This window comes from Homo sapiens, chromosome 3 (genome assembly GCF_000001405.40).
Source record: "Homo sapiens chromosome 3, GRCh38.p14 Primary Assembly".
NCBI lineage: Eukaryota > Metazoa > Chordata > Mammalia > Primates > Hominidae > Homo > Homo sapiens.
Window position 1 is genome coordinate 54,627,159 of NC_000003.12, and position 15,357 is coordinate 54,642,515.

Here is a 15,357-nt window from a genome sequence, read left to right on the forward strand (position 1 = left end):
AGACAGAGTAATGCCGTATCTTAAGAAATGTCACAGTCTTAGGTGGGGACAGAGTTTAATTATGCAGTGCTCAGTGAAAGGTGGATCTGAGTACCTGATGGCAGCATGGAGTCACAAAGGAAGCATTCTAGGCTAGTCTTAGAGGCTGGTGCTCTGAGAATACGTCATGCGGTGGGAAGAGGGTTATGCCCATATGAGATGTGAAAAGTGGGTGGGAGAGGGCGTGGCAGGAGAGCCAGGGAATGGATTGAGAGTGGGTTCCCAGTGGAGGGGTGCATATGCAGAGTCCTAAATGTGATCAGGAGCGGGAGAGTAGGGGTAGGAGAGGAAAAGAGTCACCAATGATGAAACGGGAGAGGAAAGTGGCAATTTTAGATGAATTAAATGCTTTTCACCAGAGTTCAACTGATTTTCTTCCTAAACTGTAACTGAAGCTAAACCATGAATATTGAAGGTAAGTTTTACATTGAGTAAGTTCTTATGTTTTGAATGTAGAAGGAAAAAGTAAATTATGACCGGTTGGATCTGACAATCATTGGTCTTGCCATGGCGTACATCTAATTCATTCAAGGTTGGTGTTTCACATAACAGGACAGACACTAATGGATTTTCTGCTTTGCTGTTTCAGCACTTCAGGGAGCATCTGGACAAACTTTTCGCCAAAGGAATTGGAATGTTGGATATAGCTCTGAATGAGGCCTTCAACATTCTGAGTGATGTAAGTTCCTCTTTGATTTGCCTTTCTCATCCCTTGGAGAATAGATGGGTGTTGTTTTAGAAAATTGTGGGCCAGGCTGGGCGCTGTGGTTCAGACCTTTAATCCCAGCCCTTTGGGAGGCCGAGATGGGCGGATCATGAGGTCAGGAGATCCAGACCATCCTGGCTAACACGGTGAAACCCCATCTCTACTAAAAATACAAAAAATTAGCCAGGCATGGTGGCGGGTGCCTGTAGTCCCAGCTACTCGGGAGGTGGAGGCAGGAGAATGGTGTTAACCCGGGAGGTGGAGCTTGAAGTGAGCCGAGATTGTGCACTCCAGCCTGGGTGACAGAGCGAGACTCCGTCTCAAAAAAAAATAGAAAAAGAAAAAAATTGTGGGCCAGCTCTGGCTGACACTGAGCAGATCTATAGGCATGGGACGGGAGAGTGAGACTGGCTGGCCATTTAAGTCATCTAGGGAACCAGATGCCAGCCAGTGAGGTCAAACCAGAGCACAGTGGGGAAGAGAGAATGCTAGGGAATGAGACCATGGAAGCAGCAGGAGCCAAATTGAGTAGCGTCATAGAGACACTAATGAGGGCTTTGACTGTGGAGTGGAAAGCCATTGGAGGGTCTAGGCAGAGAACTACATGGTCTTGAACTCAACAGCATTTTTCTGGCTGCTGTATTTAGAAGCAACCCTAGGAGGGCAAGGACAATAACAGGGAGGCCATTAAGTTATCTGGGTAAGATAATGGTGACTTGGACTAGGGAGATAGCAGTGAAGATGTTAAGAAGCAGAAAAATAAAAACCACTCTAGGTATTTTAAATAGTAGGAGTTTAATTCGGGCAATTGATGGCATAAGGGATGGAAAAGCTGAGAAACCAGAGAATGAAGCAATCCACAGATTAGCATCAGCAGGAGGCATCTCCTCTCTAGGGCAGGGGGTACAACAGGCAGGAGGGGTGACATCAGCGCCGAGTCACTGTGGCCATTCAGATGGGCCATTCAGAAGTGTGGAGGAGGCTACCCAAGAAGAACTGTGACTATGGAGGGAAGGACCTGTCCTGTGGAAGTTGGAACTATGGAGGAGACACAGTCACGGCCAGAAAATGCCTATCCCCTGAGAGCGTAGAGAAATTGCTTAGAAAGACCTTGATTCTTTCCTTGCTTCCTTTCCCCTTTGTATGATCCTTGTCAAACTGTTGGGGAGCTTGAGAGCTGTGGTTTGCAGGAAGAAGGCATGGGATAGTCTGAGAACAAACAGGCACTAAATGGAGCAACATCATCTTGAGGTGTCAAGCAGGAGCTGGGAGACCAGCAGAGACTCCCAAGGCCTTGCTGCTGTTGGTCTGCAGGCAGCTCTGTAGGGCAGGCTGTTGTCATTTTGCAGGTGAGCAAGCAGAAGCCCAGGCAGGTGAGTCATTCACTCCACAGTTCATAACTTGGATTGTGGGTTAGTTACACCTGACTCCAAAACTTGACTTTTTACTACTCAGCTATACTGGCCTCTCAAGAAAGGCTAGGCCCTAATTTCCAGACTCTCTTTTACCAATAATACCTGTTGCCACGAAGATGACTGTTTAGATCTCAGTCCTGAGCCAGTGTCATGACTGCAGAGGAGAAGAGAAAAATAAGGAGAGAAGGTGCCAAGTCAACTTCCTCAGTACAAATCCAAAGCCCCGGTCACCTAATGAGCTCCAAGGGGCTGTTGGCTACAGGATGTAAACATTTATGTAAGAGTCCGTGTTTTGGACAGTACATCTCTGTTGACAGCAAAGTAATAGTTTTAGTGACACAGCCGGCGAGGACAGAGGACTAGGCTGCTGGGCAGGTGCCTTCTTAGGGCTTGGGTCTCTGCATCTCAGCAGGCTCTTTCCAGGTGGTGATATTGAAAAGACCTGTTACAGTTTGAAAATTCCCTCTCGTTTTATCTCAAAAACCTAGTGGCCAGAGCAGGGGGAGACTTCTCTGAGCTGTGGAGTCCCTTGTTTGGAAGTCTTCCCTGCAGTGAATTTCTCTTTCCCTGTTCTCTGGCCTAAGTGGCGAAGGAGAAAGGGTTAGGAGATTGTTGTATGGTTAAGTCTGTGGCCCCTGGAGTAAGGCAGATTGGGGCTGAGAAGCCTGACTCAGCCAGAGTTTACAGGGTTTCTTGTTCACAGTTATTGAGAATTTTAAGGTAATGGTAGCAAAGCCTTGAACCAAGTGCGGAGCTTTCTTAGTGTAATCTTGTGCAGCTGTGCATGTCACACACCCGTGAGGTGGTCCTGGTGGTCCCTTTCTCGTGGGGTTGAGATTCAGCCTGATGAGGCAGGACCTGGCTCCCTTTCAGCAGTGCTGGGCTGGGTGAGAAGTGCCACCTCTGTGACCACTGAGAACCCAGGTCTCTAGACACAGCTCCCACTACAAATGCTTTGGTTCTCTTTGCCCAAGTCATTAGGAGTGTCTGCTCCCCTTCCTCTATTTTCTGTTCCTTTCCCTGGTACCCTTTCTCTGTCCATCCCTTCCATCTGTCACCTTTGTTCTCAGACCCTCCTAAGACACTATTTCCCATAGCATGCGCAGTTTAATGCCGGCCTGCCAAGGTACTCCCACATGGGGGTTGTGGTCAAGGTGAGGAGATGCCATCCTCCTCTTGCAGACTCACAAGGTACTTGCGCATATCAAAGGCCTTGAGAAGTCCTGCAGTGAACAAACCTTTAAAAATGTGTTTAACCACACTTACTAACCCAGGAACACTTTATATCATACCATCATCTCCGTATTAGCATCTTGTAGAAGTTACAGCTCACCAACCACATTTTGGGGCATAATATTGTATGCTCCAAGAAGGTGTATTCACACTTTCACAGGGCCTACTAAGACCCAGAGAAATCACCAACACATGGTGGACTTTTTTATCCTGAATCTTTGTGAGGGAAGCATTTTTGAACAGGAAAACCCTCCATACCCCTGTAAAAATACCTCTGGAGTCTGGTCAGTCAGATAACCACATGAGCTGAATATAGATCTTGGAAAGCAAAAAGCCGAATAAATGTTTTTTAAAAAAACACAATGATAGGCCAGGCACGGTGGCTCACACCTGTAATCCCAGCACTTTGGGAGGGCGAGGTGGGCGGATCACCAGAGGTCCGGGGTTCGAGACCAGCCTGACCAACATGGTGAAATCCCGTCTCTACTAAAAATACAGAAAAATTAGTCAGGCATGGTGGTAGGCGCCTGTAATCCCAGCTATTCGGGAGGCTGAGGCAGGAGAATCGCTTGAACCCAGGAGGGAGAGGATGCAGTGAGCTGAGATTGCACCACTGCACTTCAGCCTGGGTGACAGAGCGAGACTCCATCAAACACACACACACACACACACACACACACACACAAAGATAAATGTTACAAAATGTCCCAGCTTGAGATTGGTTGGCGATTAACACTATATTTGTTTGAGTGCACATTTATCTCATAGGGAGAAACATTTCATATCATCTATTGCCAGTGAGCTTTTAAATAGCTAAACTCTTTGACAAACACAGAGGTGGTTAATCTCCCATGAAAATGAAGCTTTGTCTATTAATATTTTCTACTTCATCAATATGACCTTTAAGTGATATTATTATCTTCCTGTGTATTATGCCTGCCTTTACAAGTCAATATGAAATAAAAAGTTATTTCTTGAACACACACATATACACGCACACACACACGTGCTTAAAATTGTGATCGTGGCTGGAGCTTAGAATGGTTCAGAGGTTACTATAATTGAATGGAGTTTATTCTGTTTTACAGTTACCTGCATTTCAGTTTTGGTATTTGCTCAGATGACTTAAAGGCTTGCAGTTCTTGATACAAATGGCTTTGAAAGGAGCATTCAAATAAACTTCTAAGCCCCTTCAAGCTCTTGATCTCTGCTGCATTCATTAGATTCTGTAAGAACACAGAGCAAGTTTGCTACAGTAGTTAGCATCTACCTTGTCATGTGACAACTGCAATTATCATTTTTGGCGATGAATGTGATCTTTGCAGTGATTACCTTTTAAAATTTTTTCTTAGCCAATTAAATAAAATTCGGTGACATTTCAAAGACTGTTAATCACAACCAAATGCTCTAAATGTCAGGATGCATTGAAAATTTCACTGCTAACTGATGAATCACTGAGCTAATTGTAGTTCATCATCAGGCCCTTGTCATTGTTATTATTATGGAAAACACTTTCATCACTCTCGCTATTCAATAAAGAAAAGTTTTAGACAAATATGAAGAGAAAAGATATTACTCATCAAACCATTTGAATTTAATTGCATTCTTCAAAATTCTACAGCTACAGATTGCAGCAGAGAATACCAGGGACTCAGCCAGAGAAGAAAGTACTGTTTTTAAATAAACAGCTCCTGGCAGCTCTTTATTCTAGTCCACATTATTCAGATATCTTCTTTTTTCCTCTCTTTCTTTCCATGTGTTTGGGAAAATTTTTCCAGGATGTTTTCAGATGAGTTTGTGAACAATGGCCCTAGAGTATTCTGTTTTTTTCCCCTTGAAGCTTCTGTGACCTGAAGCATAGATTACTTTTATGCATTGGCTTGTTGCTGAGTTTATTCAATGGTGCGAAGCTGTGTTTAATGCAGTCTCCCCAGAACATCTCCAGAACAACCTGTTGAGAAGACCAGGGTACAAGGCTGTTTTTTCTTCTGCAGTAAGGACAGAGTCTTAGCAGCTTCCCAGAGTTGGAAGGACAATGTCCAGATATTTATTGAGACTTAAGTTTGGTTGAAGATGGACCCTTTAATGGGAGATGAGGGAGGGGGCTTGGCTAGGATCAGGTAAGAATCCTAATATTTCTGTTGAGGTTGGTGAACATAGCAAGGGAAAGATTTTGAGGTCAGGGGTTCAGTCTTAGGGTGTAAATTGTCCTTTGATGCTTTCTATTGAAGAATTGATGGGTCTTTCAAGAAGTTCCTGGAATAAGCAATGAGGTTATTTCCGAGTTTGACCTTCCTGGGCAAGCATTTTCTGGAATAGTAAGTTATATTGATAAAGACAGTAGAATAGTGGTCGCGTGGAAAGCTTTGTGGTGTGATAGCGGAGTTTCCAGGTGTTTCTACCTACTAACGTGACAGTGTCAGGGGCTGCGTCTGCTCATTAACTCAGTTGCACATGTGCAGTCGGAGTTGCAGGAGTGGCTGCCAGGGCCAGGACTAAGATGAGGAAAGTGTCTGGGGCACCACATGTAAGGAGCACTCACCCTCAGGATCACAGCCCTGGTGACTGCCCTGTGACCCTGAAACCCTAAAAGGGATGGAGGAAGTAGAGGCAGGAGGAGGAGATTAATACTTTTGGAGCCCTACCACCTATCCATTTGCTTACTGATCTTCCTGAATTACTGAAAGGCCATATTGTGTGCTCAATTGGAGAGTAGATTCTAGAGCTTGATGGTCTGGATTCAAATCCCAGCTATGTCAGATAGTAGCTGTGTGACCTGGGGCAAGTTAGCTAATCTCTCTGTGCCTTAGTTTCCTACCTGTAAAATAAAGATAATGATAGCGTTGGAAGACTTTTCCTTAGCTCAGCTAAAGACAGGATCCTCGTCACATGGCCACGAAAGTTTAGGCTTGCAGAAGTTTGAAGAGTAAGAAAAATCGGATTTATTGGGCAAAAAGGGAAAAAAGGGAAACAGGTACTAGTCCTGCTAGTACATGCTTCTTCCCACCTCACAGATTGAATTCCAGGTTCCTCACAGGAAGAGGAGGGACCAGGCTCCTCCCCACTGCAAACGACACAAACTTCTATGGCTCCATCCCAGTGCACATTCCTCCCAGTGTACAGGCTGGTTGGAGTTTTGCCAAGGAGTCCTTCCCACCTGGCTGTCTCAGTAGTACCTACCTCAGAGGCCTGTAAGGATTAAGTAAATTCGTATTAATACACGTAGCCTGGCATATAACAAACATTGAACATTTAACCTGTGGTGTACCAACCACTTAAGGATGTTATTCTTATCTTGTCTGTGGAAGAATGAAAGCTCCGGAAGGAAACTTATCCCAGGCACACAGCTGTGTTGCTGAGATGACATCGAGTGCTTTCCCCTATGCCATGGTACCCCGTGCGTGATTCGAGTTGGCTTTGCTGTGTCTCAGTATGGCCATAAGGCAATTCCATTCATCCATTTATCTATCTATGCATCTATCCAGTTATGTATGGTCTTCTCTCAAGTTACTGCAACTTCAGACTCCACATCAGATGTCTAAGTGCCTGAAGACTAGGCATTAATATCTTTAATTTGAATGCTTTATTACGTCTCTCATTCACCAGTGGCCAGCCAGCAAAGCCAAGAGTAGCCACCATCCCTCCCCAGTGTCATGGTTCAATAGATTGAACCTGCCAGGCACACTCCCACTCAGTGCCTTTGCACTTAACGTTTGCCCTTCCTGGAATATCTTTCCCTCAGATACTCACATCTCTCAGGTATAACTCAAATGTCACCTTCTCAGTGAGGTCTTCCCTGACTATGGTTTCTAGAATTGCCCCCTCCCATTTCTTATCCTTCTTTGCTTTCTTCTTTCCCCACCCTTAACATCACCATTATCAAACATATAACGTAGTTTACTTATTTACCTTGTTTTTGTATGTCTTCCCTTTCATGCGCGTCTGTGTGAAGAGACCACCAAACAGGCTTTGTGTGAGCAACAAGGCTGTTTATTTCACCTGGGTGCAGGCGGGCTGAGTCGGAAAAGAGAGTCAGCGAAGGGAGATAAGGGTGGGGCCGTTTTATAGGATTTGGGTAGGTAAAGGAAAATTACAGTCAAAGGGGGTTTGTTCTCTGGCGGGTAGGAGCGGGGGTCGCAAGGTGCTCAGTGGGGGTGCTTTTTGAGCCAGGATGAGCCAGGAAAAGGACTTTCACAAGGTAATGTCATCAGTTAAGGCAAGGACTGGCCATTTACACTTCTTTTGTGGTGGAATGTCATCAGTTAAGGTGGGGCAGGGCATATTCACTTCTTTTGTGATTCTTTAGTTACTTCAGGCCATCTGGGCATATACATGCAGGTCACAGGGGATGCAATGGCTTGGCTTGGGCTCAGAGGCCTGACATTCCTGCCTTCTTAATAAGAAAAATAAAACAAGATAGTGTTGAAGTGTTGGGGCGGGGAAAATTTTTGTGGAGTGGTATGGAGAGAGAGTGGACGATGTTTCTCAGGGCTGCTTCAAGCGGGATTAGGGGCGGTGTGGGAACCTAGAGTCGGAGAGATTAAGCTGAAAGGAGATCTTATGGTAAGGGGTGATATTGTGGGGTTGTTAGAAGAAACATTTGTTGTATAGAATGATTGGTGATGGCCTGGATACGGTTTTGTATGAACTGAAAAACTAAATGGAATAAGAAGGAGAAAAACAGGTATAAAAGGTCTAAGAATTGGGAGGACCTAGGGCATCTGATTAGAGAGTGCCTAAGGAAATTCAGCATAGTCCTGCCAGCAAAGATTATTTATTTACTTCAAGAGTTAAGAGTGGCGGTTTGGGGATAGCACCAGGAGATATCAGCTATGATGGCTTGGAGAAACAGTGTAAACCGGCAGTGTAAACAAGAGCAGGGCATGTATGAGTAGTTGAGAATGGAAAATAGGAGTATGACTAGACAGAAAATAGTAGGGATGACAAGTTTTTTTGGGGGCACAGTCTAAGTTGGTCCGGTGTCTGGAATGAGACTGGGGCCTAATAAAAAGGAGCATCTATACAGGAGCTTAAATGGGCTGTACCTTGTAGCATTCCGAGGACAGGCCTGAATTCTGAGAAGGGAAAGTGATAAAAGTATTGTCCAGTCCTTTTTGGTGGCTGAGCTTGGTGAGGTGTGTTTTTAAAAGACCTTCAGTCCATTCTACCTTTCTTGAAGATGGAGGACTGTAAGGGATATAAAGGTTTCACTGAATACTAAGAGCCTGAAAAACTGCTTGGCTGATTTGACTAATAAAGACTCATCTGTTATCAGACTGTATTGAGGTGGGAAGGCTAAAATGAGGAATTATGTCTGACAGAACGGAAGAAATGACTGGTGGCCTTCTCAGACCCTGTAGGAAACGCCTTTACTTATTCAGTGAAAGTGTCTATTTAGACTAAGAGGTATTTTAGTTTCCTGACTCGGGCATGTTAAGTAAAGCTAATTTGCCAGTCCTGGGTGGGGGCAAATCCCTGAGCTTGATGTGTAGGGAAGGGAGGGGGCCTGAATAATCCCTGAGGAGTAGTAGAATAGCAGATGGAACACTGAGAAGTTATTTCCTTGAGGATAGATTTCCACGATGGAAAGGAAATGAGAGGTTCTGAGAGGCAGGCTAGTGGCTAGTACTATAGCATAGCCTGCCTTTGCTGGTATGTGGCGATTAGGCCTGGTGGAACTACCATCAATAAATCAAGCGTGATCAGGGTGAGGAACAGGAAAGAAGGAAATATGGGAAAATGGGGTGAATATCAGGTGGATCAGAGAGACACAGTCGTGGGGGTCAGGTGTGGTATCAAGAATAATGTGGGAGGCCGGATTGAAGTCCGGGCCAGGAACAATGGTAATTGTGGGACTTAACAAAGAGTGAGTACAGCTGAAGGAGCCAGGGAGCAGAAAGCATATGCGTCAGGTATGAGGAAGAAAATAGATTTTGGAAGTTATGAGAAATGTAGAGAGTGAGTTGAGCATAGTTTGTGATTTTTAGGGCCTCTAAAAGTATTAAAGCAGCGGCAGCCTCTGCACGCAGACATGAGGGCTAGGCTAAAACAGTAAGGTCAAGTTGTTTGGACAGAAAGGCTACAGGGTGTGGTCCTGGCTCTTGTGTAAGAATTCTGACTGCACTATAACCATGCCTAGGAAGGAAAGGAGTTGTTGTTTTGTAAGGGATTGAGGTTTGGGAGATTAATCGGACACGATCAGCAGGGAAAGCACGTGTGTTTTTATGAGAATTATGCCGAGATAGGTAACAGATGAGGATGAAATTTGGGCTTGACTGAAGTAATGGGGGCTGTCTGTGAAGCCTTGTGGCAGTACAGCCCAGGTAATTTGCTGAGCCTAATCAGTGTCAGGGTGAGTCTAAGTGAAAGCAAAGAGAGGCTGGGATGAAGGGTGCAAAGGAATAGTAAAGAAAGCATGTTTGAGTTCTAGAACAGACTAATGGGTAGTAGAGGGAGGTATTGAGGATAGGAGAGTATACGGGTTTGGCACCACGGGGTGGATAGGCAAAACAATTTGGTTGATAAGGCACAGATCCTGAACTAACTTGTAAGGCTTGTCCGGTTTTAGGACAGGTAAAATGGGGGAATTGTAAGGGGAGTTTATAGGCTTTAAAAGGCCATGCTGTAGCAGACGAGTGATAACAGGCTTTAACCTTTTTAAAGTGTGCTGCGGGATGGGATATTGGCGTTGAGTAGGGTAAGGGTGATTAGGTTTTAATGAGATGGTAAGGGGTGCATGATCGGTCACCAAGGAGGGAGTAGACGTATCTTATACTTGTGGGTTAAGGTGGGGGGATACAAGAGGAGGACGCAAAGGAGGCTTTTGATTGGGAAGAAGGGCGGCAATGAGATATAGCTGTAGTCCAGGAATAGTCAGGGAAGCAGACAATTTAGTTAAAGTGTCTCAGCCTAATAAGGGAACTGGGCAGGTGGGGATAACTAAAAAGGAGTGCTTTAAAGAGTATTGTCTAAGTTGGCACCAGAGTTGGGGAGTTTTAAGAGGTTTAGAAGCCTGGCTGTCAATACTCACAACAGTTATGGAGGCAAGGGAAACAGACCCTTGAAAAGAAGGTAATGTGGAGTGGGTAGCCTCCGTATTGATTAAGAAGGGGACGGACTTACCCTCCACTGTGAGTTACCTAAAGCTCGGCGTCCATGATGGTCTGCGGGGCTTCTGAGGCGATCAGGCAGCGTCAGTCTTCAGCCAGTAAGCCAAGAAGGAGTCAGTCAGAGAACCTTGGGCCAGAGTTCCAGGAGCTCTGGGAGTGGCTGCCAGGTGAGTTGAACAGTCCGATTTTCAGTGGGGTCCCACACAGATGGGACGCGGCTTAGGAGGAATCCCGGGCTGCGGGCGTTCCTTGGCCCAGTGGCCAGATTTCCGGCATGTGTAGCAAGTTCCTGGGGGAGGAGGTTCTGGAGAAACGTCTGGCTGCTACAGTTCAGGCGTTTGGAAGTTCTTGTGTGCTGGAGATGTGGCTGGGGTTTGTCTCACAGTGGAGGCAAGGAATTGCAACTTTTTTCTGTTATTTCACACCTTGAAGGTGAGGTTAATTAAGTCCTGTTGTGGGGTTTGAGGGCCAGATTCCAGTTTTTGGAGTTTTATTTAATGTCGGGAGCAGATTGGGTAATAAAATGTATATTGAGAATAAGATGGCCTTTTGACCTTTTAGGGGCTAGGGCTGTAAAGTGTCTTAGGGTTGCTGCCAAACGAGCCATGAACTGGGCTAGATTTTTATATTTGATGAAAAAGAGCCTAAACACTATCTGATTTGGGATAAAGAAAAAGGAGCATTAACCTTGACTATGCGTTTAGCTCCAGCCACCTTTTTAAGAATAAATTGCTGGGCAGGTCGGGGAGGGCTAGTCACGGAATGAAACTGTAAGCCGGAGCAGGTGTGAGGAGGGGAGGTGATAAAAAGATTATAGGGTGGAGGAGCAGAGGCTGAGGAAGAATTGGGACCTAGCTCGGCCTGGCAAGGAGCAGCCTGGGGAGGAAGGGAGAGGTCAGATGGGTCTGTAGAAAAGGAAGATTAGAAAGACTCAGTGACGCTTGGGGTTGGTACTGAGGGGACAGGCGGGAGGGAAAGAAGGAAGATTTGGGACGAGTTGCACTGGGCACAGAGACTAGGAAGGGACTGATGTGTAAAAGAATGCCTGGACGTCAGGCACCTCACACCATTTGCCCATTTTACGCCAAGAATTATTTAGATCTTGTAGGGTGGAAAAATTGAAAGTGCCATTTTCTGGCTATTTGGAACTACTGTTGAGTTTGTATTGGGGTCAAGTGGCATTGCAGAAGAAAATAAGACGCTTAGATTTTAGGTCAGGTGAGAATTGAAGAGATTTTAAGTTCTTAAGAATACATGCTAAGGGAGAAGAAAGGAATGGAAGGTGGAAGCTTGCCCATAGTGAAGGAGGCAAGCCCAGAGAAAAGAGTAGAGACACGGAGAAGGGGTGGGGGTTTCTTCCCCTCCAGAAAAGCAGAGAAAGGGTTGGGGCGCGGAAATAAGGGATTGGGGCGCAGAGATAAGAGATTGGGGCGTGGAAATAAGGGATTGGGGCACAGAGATAAGAGGTTGGGGCGTGAAAATAAGCGATTGGGGGGTTCTTGCCCCCTAGGAAAGCGGGACTTGCTGCTAAGGGTGAAGGAGAAGGGGTTGAGGGGTACTTGCCCCTGCCCCAGAAAAGCGGGACTTGCCGCTAAGGGTGAAGGAGAAGGGGTTGAGGGGTACTTGCCCCTGCCCCAGGAAAGCGGGACTTGCCGCTAAGGGTGAAGGACCAAGGCAGGCATCCCTGCGTGGTCTGAAACGTGAAATCAGAGAGGCGTCCCTGCAATGATTAAACACCAAGGGAAGACTGCCTTCCCAGTCCGTGACCGGCGCCGGAGTTTTGGGTTCACGGATAAAACATGTCTCTTTTGTCTCTACCAGAGAATGAAAGGAATTGAAATTAAGAGAAGGGAGAGATTGAAGTGTGGCGCCAAGATTGAAAGGAGAAAGAGGTTGAGGGATAGTGAGGGAGGTTGGAGAACAGAGTAAAAAGAGGCCGCTTACCGGATTTGAAATTGGTGAGATGTTTCTTGGGCTGGTTGGTCTGAGGACCTGAGGTCGTAGGTGGATCTTTCTCACGGAGCAAAGAGCAGGAGGACAGGGGATTGATCTCCCAAGGGAGGTCCCCCGATCCGAGTCACGGCACCAAATTTCATGCGCGTCCGTGTGAAGAGACCACCAAACAGGCTTTGTGTGAGCAACGAGGCTGTTTATTTCACCTGGGTGCAGGCGGGCTGAGTCCGAAAAGAGAGTCAGCGAAGGGAGATAAGGGTGGGGCCGTTTTATAGGATTTGGTTAGGTAAAGGAAAATTACAGTCAAAGGGGGTTTGTTCTCTGGCGGGTAGGAGCGGGGGGTCGCAAGGTGCTCAGTGGGGGTGCTTTTTGAGCCAGGATGAGCCAGGAAAAGGACTTTCACAAGGTAATGTCATCAGTTAAGGCAAGGACTGGCCATTTACACTTCTTTTGTGGTGGAATGTCATCAGTTAAGGTGGGGCAGGGCATATTCACTTCTTTTGTGATTCTTCAGTTACTTCAGGCCATCTGGGCGTGTACGTGCATGTCATAGGGGATGCGATGGCTTGGCTTGGGCTCAGAGGCCTGACATTCCCAAAGAGAATACGAAGCTAAGTGAGGGAAGAGATTTTTTTATGTTTCATTCCTAGTGCTGTGTGGGCACTTAGCAAATAATTTTAGAACAAATGAATACACTTTGCAGATTTTAATAGAGAAGGTTTTTACTTACTGAAGGTTGAAGATTTTGTATGTGTTTCCCATCTCGCAGCATTGACATGTAATTGTAGGGATTTTAAAGGACATGGTATTACTTTCAATTGCATCATTAATAGCATTAATTAAGGGAATTTTTCACCCCGATTCCAGGGAAGGACATTCTGCTCTGGCAACCATATTCAGTCACTCTAGCTGCCTACCACTCACAAAGGCTGAGAGCTGCTAAAATCTTACATAAAGCTGAAAGTTGAAGAAGTCTAGGGTTTTACATACCAGTGAGCGCAATCTTAGAACTTCAGCATGCCATACATGCTAACGTATAAACTAATATGTAAGTTTACATGCCAACAATATAAATTTGAAATGAACCCTTATTAAGAAAATACTTGGGCTTCTCAAGTGAATTGTCATGTTACTGACTTTCTCCCTATATGCCTAAAACCTCCTTGATTTTATTATATGCTGCATTCTGTACTCATCAGATCCACCCGAACTAGCCTCATTTAGATTTTGAAAGAGATATTGTCTCTCAAGTAGCCCATTGTTTGTATAATGTGTTCCTAAAACATTTCTGTGCCAACTCCTTTGGGCTTATTTCCTAAAACACAGTCCATACCTGAAGGTAAGAGAGGTTGTGCAATCCTAGACTCTTCCTTCCCACCTCTTGTGTATTTTTTGAAATCCCCCTGTGATCTGTATTTGGATCTATTGGAAAAAAAAAAAAAAGCCAAGCTCGATGAAGTATTTAAAGATATTTATTCTGAGCCAAATATGAATGACTGTGTCCTGGGGTGCAGCCTCAAGGGGTCCTGAGAGCATATGCCTAAGTTGTGGTCATGTTACAGCTTGGTTTTATACATTTAAGGGAGACTGAAGTTACAGGCAAAGACATAATACATGTAAGGTATACATTGGTTTAGCCTGGAAAGGCAAGACATTTCAAAGGGATAGGGGACACTTACAGGTCACAGGTGGATTCAAAGATTTCTGACTGGCAGTTGGTTGAAAGAATTAAGCTTTGCATGAAGAGTTGAAGTCAGCAGAAAGAAATCCTTGAGTTAAGAGGGGTGTGGAAGCCAGGGTTTTGTTATGTAGATGAAGCCTCTAAGTGGCAGGCTTCAGAGAGAATAGATGGCAAATATCTCTTTTCAGACCTGAAAAGATGTCAAAGTCTTAGTTGAATCTCTCCTGGATTAGGAAAAGACCTAGAAAGGGAAGGAAATTCTCTAGCGAATGCAAATATCCCCCACAGGAGAAGACTTTATATGACCATTTCCAAATAAATAAATATATTTTGGAGTAAAATACCTTGATTTCCTTCAGGGCCTACTATCTGCCTTTCAGTGCTATGCCAGAGTCAGGTTGGAATTTTGTATATTATTGCTACAAAGAGTCTGTTTTGTCAGTCTTATGATTGTGGTTTTAACATTAGTGCTGATCAGTTCTCCCAAAACTCCAAAGGGAGGGGGTATAACCAGGTATGTCTGACCCTTCCCCCACTTCCTGGCATGGCCTGAAGTACTTTTTCAGATTTCTTTGGGATTCCCTTGGCCAACAGTAAGGTCTGTTCGGTTGGTTGGAGGGCTTAGAATTTTATTTTTGGCTTAAAGATCCAATTTGTCAGAGCAAATGTGGTGATCTGTGTGGAAAGACTTTTTGTATAGGTTGTTTTGGTGGTGGACAGTGTGCTGTCATTTTAAAAGGCTTCCTTAGTCCCAGGTCTCATGTCTCTGATTTTTCACTGATACACAGAATTCTCTGATATGTATACTATTTTGAACTTATTTCTTTCCCTAGTTCAACCACACGGGACAAGGAAGTATCTGCAGTCAGGCCATCATGCTCATAACTGATGGGGCGGTGGACACCTATGATACAATCTTTGCAAAATACAATTGGCCAGATCGAAAGGTAAGTTGATGCTGATCCCGTCTGTGCGGTGGACTCCTTGAGAATCTTTACTGTAATCTCCAGCTTGTCCATGAGTAAGTGCCTCATGTAGACTTAATCTCATAATGATCTGTGGTTTCTCAGCCTTGTGTTTTTTGGTTGACCAAAACTGAAGACCGGCTTTTCTTGTTTTCAAAAAATGAAACTTTTGGAGGAGAGAAGAAACTTGTAAAGACATAGTGGACGTATTCTGTGAAAAGATTCATTGTGAAGTGTGCTTCATCCATATTGGGTT

The 15,357-nt window shown here is 45.0% G+C and overlaps 1 protein-coding gene and 1 long non-coding RNA gene across 2 annotated transcripts in view, besides 3 other annotated features; one reads left to right on the forward strand and one right to left on the reverse strand.

The window, feature by feature from the left end:
* Window positions 1-15,357, forward strand: part of CACNA2D3 (calcium voltage-gated channel auxiliary subunit alpha2delta 3) — a 952,006-nt gene that overhangs the window by 504,607 nt on the left and 432,042 nt on the right. The window contains exons 10-11 of the mRNA NM_018398.3: window positions 629-718; window positions 14,970-15,083. Coding sequence (NP_060868.2) covers window positions 629-718; window positions 14,970-15,083 — 204 coding nt within the window. The remainder of the gene's footprint in view (window positions 1-628; window positions 719-14,969; window positions 15,084-15,357) is intronic.
* ESRG (embryonic stem cell related) lies at window positions 4,966-12,699 on the reverse strand. The gene is made up of 4 exons (NR_027122.1): window positions 10,533-12,699; window positions 7,303-7,407; window positions 6,401-6,582; window positions 4,966-5,649 (listed from the first exon to the last, which is right to left on the reverse strand). It is a non-coding gene; the product is annotated as an embryonic stem cell related (long non-coding RNA).
* Window positions 7,173-7,675: an enhancer, noted in NCBI's record as "OCT4-NANOG hESC enhancer chr3:54668358-54668860 (GRCh37/hg19 assembly coordinates)". NCBI's record gives its function as "activates a minimal SCP1, AML or CMV promoter by ChIP-STARR-seq in naive and primed H9 embryonic stem cells {active_cell/tissue: H9 hESC(naive and primed)}" and the evidence as "EXISTENCE:reporter gene assay evidence [ECO:0000049][PMID:30033119]".
* Window positions 7,676-8,176: an enhancer, noted in NCBI's record as "OCT4-NANOG hESC enhancer chr3:54668861-54669361 (GRCh37/hg19 assembly coordinates)". NCBI's record gives its function as "activates a minimal SCP1, AML or CMV promoter by ChIP-STARR-seq in naive and primed H9 embryonic stem cells {active_cell/tissue: H9 hESC(naive and primed)}" and the evidence as "EXISTENCE:reporter gene assay evidence [ECO:0000049][PMID:30033119]".
* Window positions 12,304-13,230: an enhancer, noted in NCBI's record as "OCT4-NANOG-H3K27ac-H3K4me1 hESC enhancer chr3:54673489-54674415 (GRCh37/hg19 assembly coordinates)". NCBI's record gives its function as "activates a minimal SCP1, AML or CMV promoter by ChIP-STARR-seq in naive and primed H9 embryonic stem cells {active_cell/tissue: H9 hESC(naive and primed)}" and the evidence as "EXISTENCE:reporter gene assay evidence [ECO:0000049][PMID:30033119]".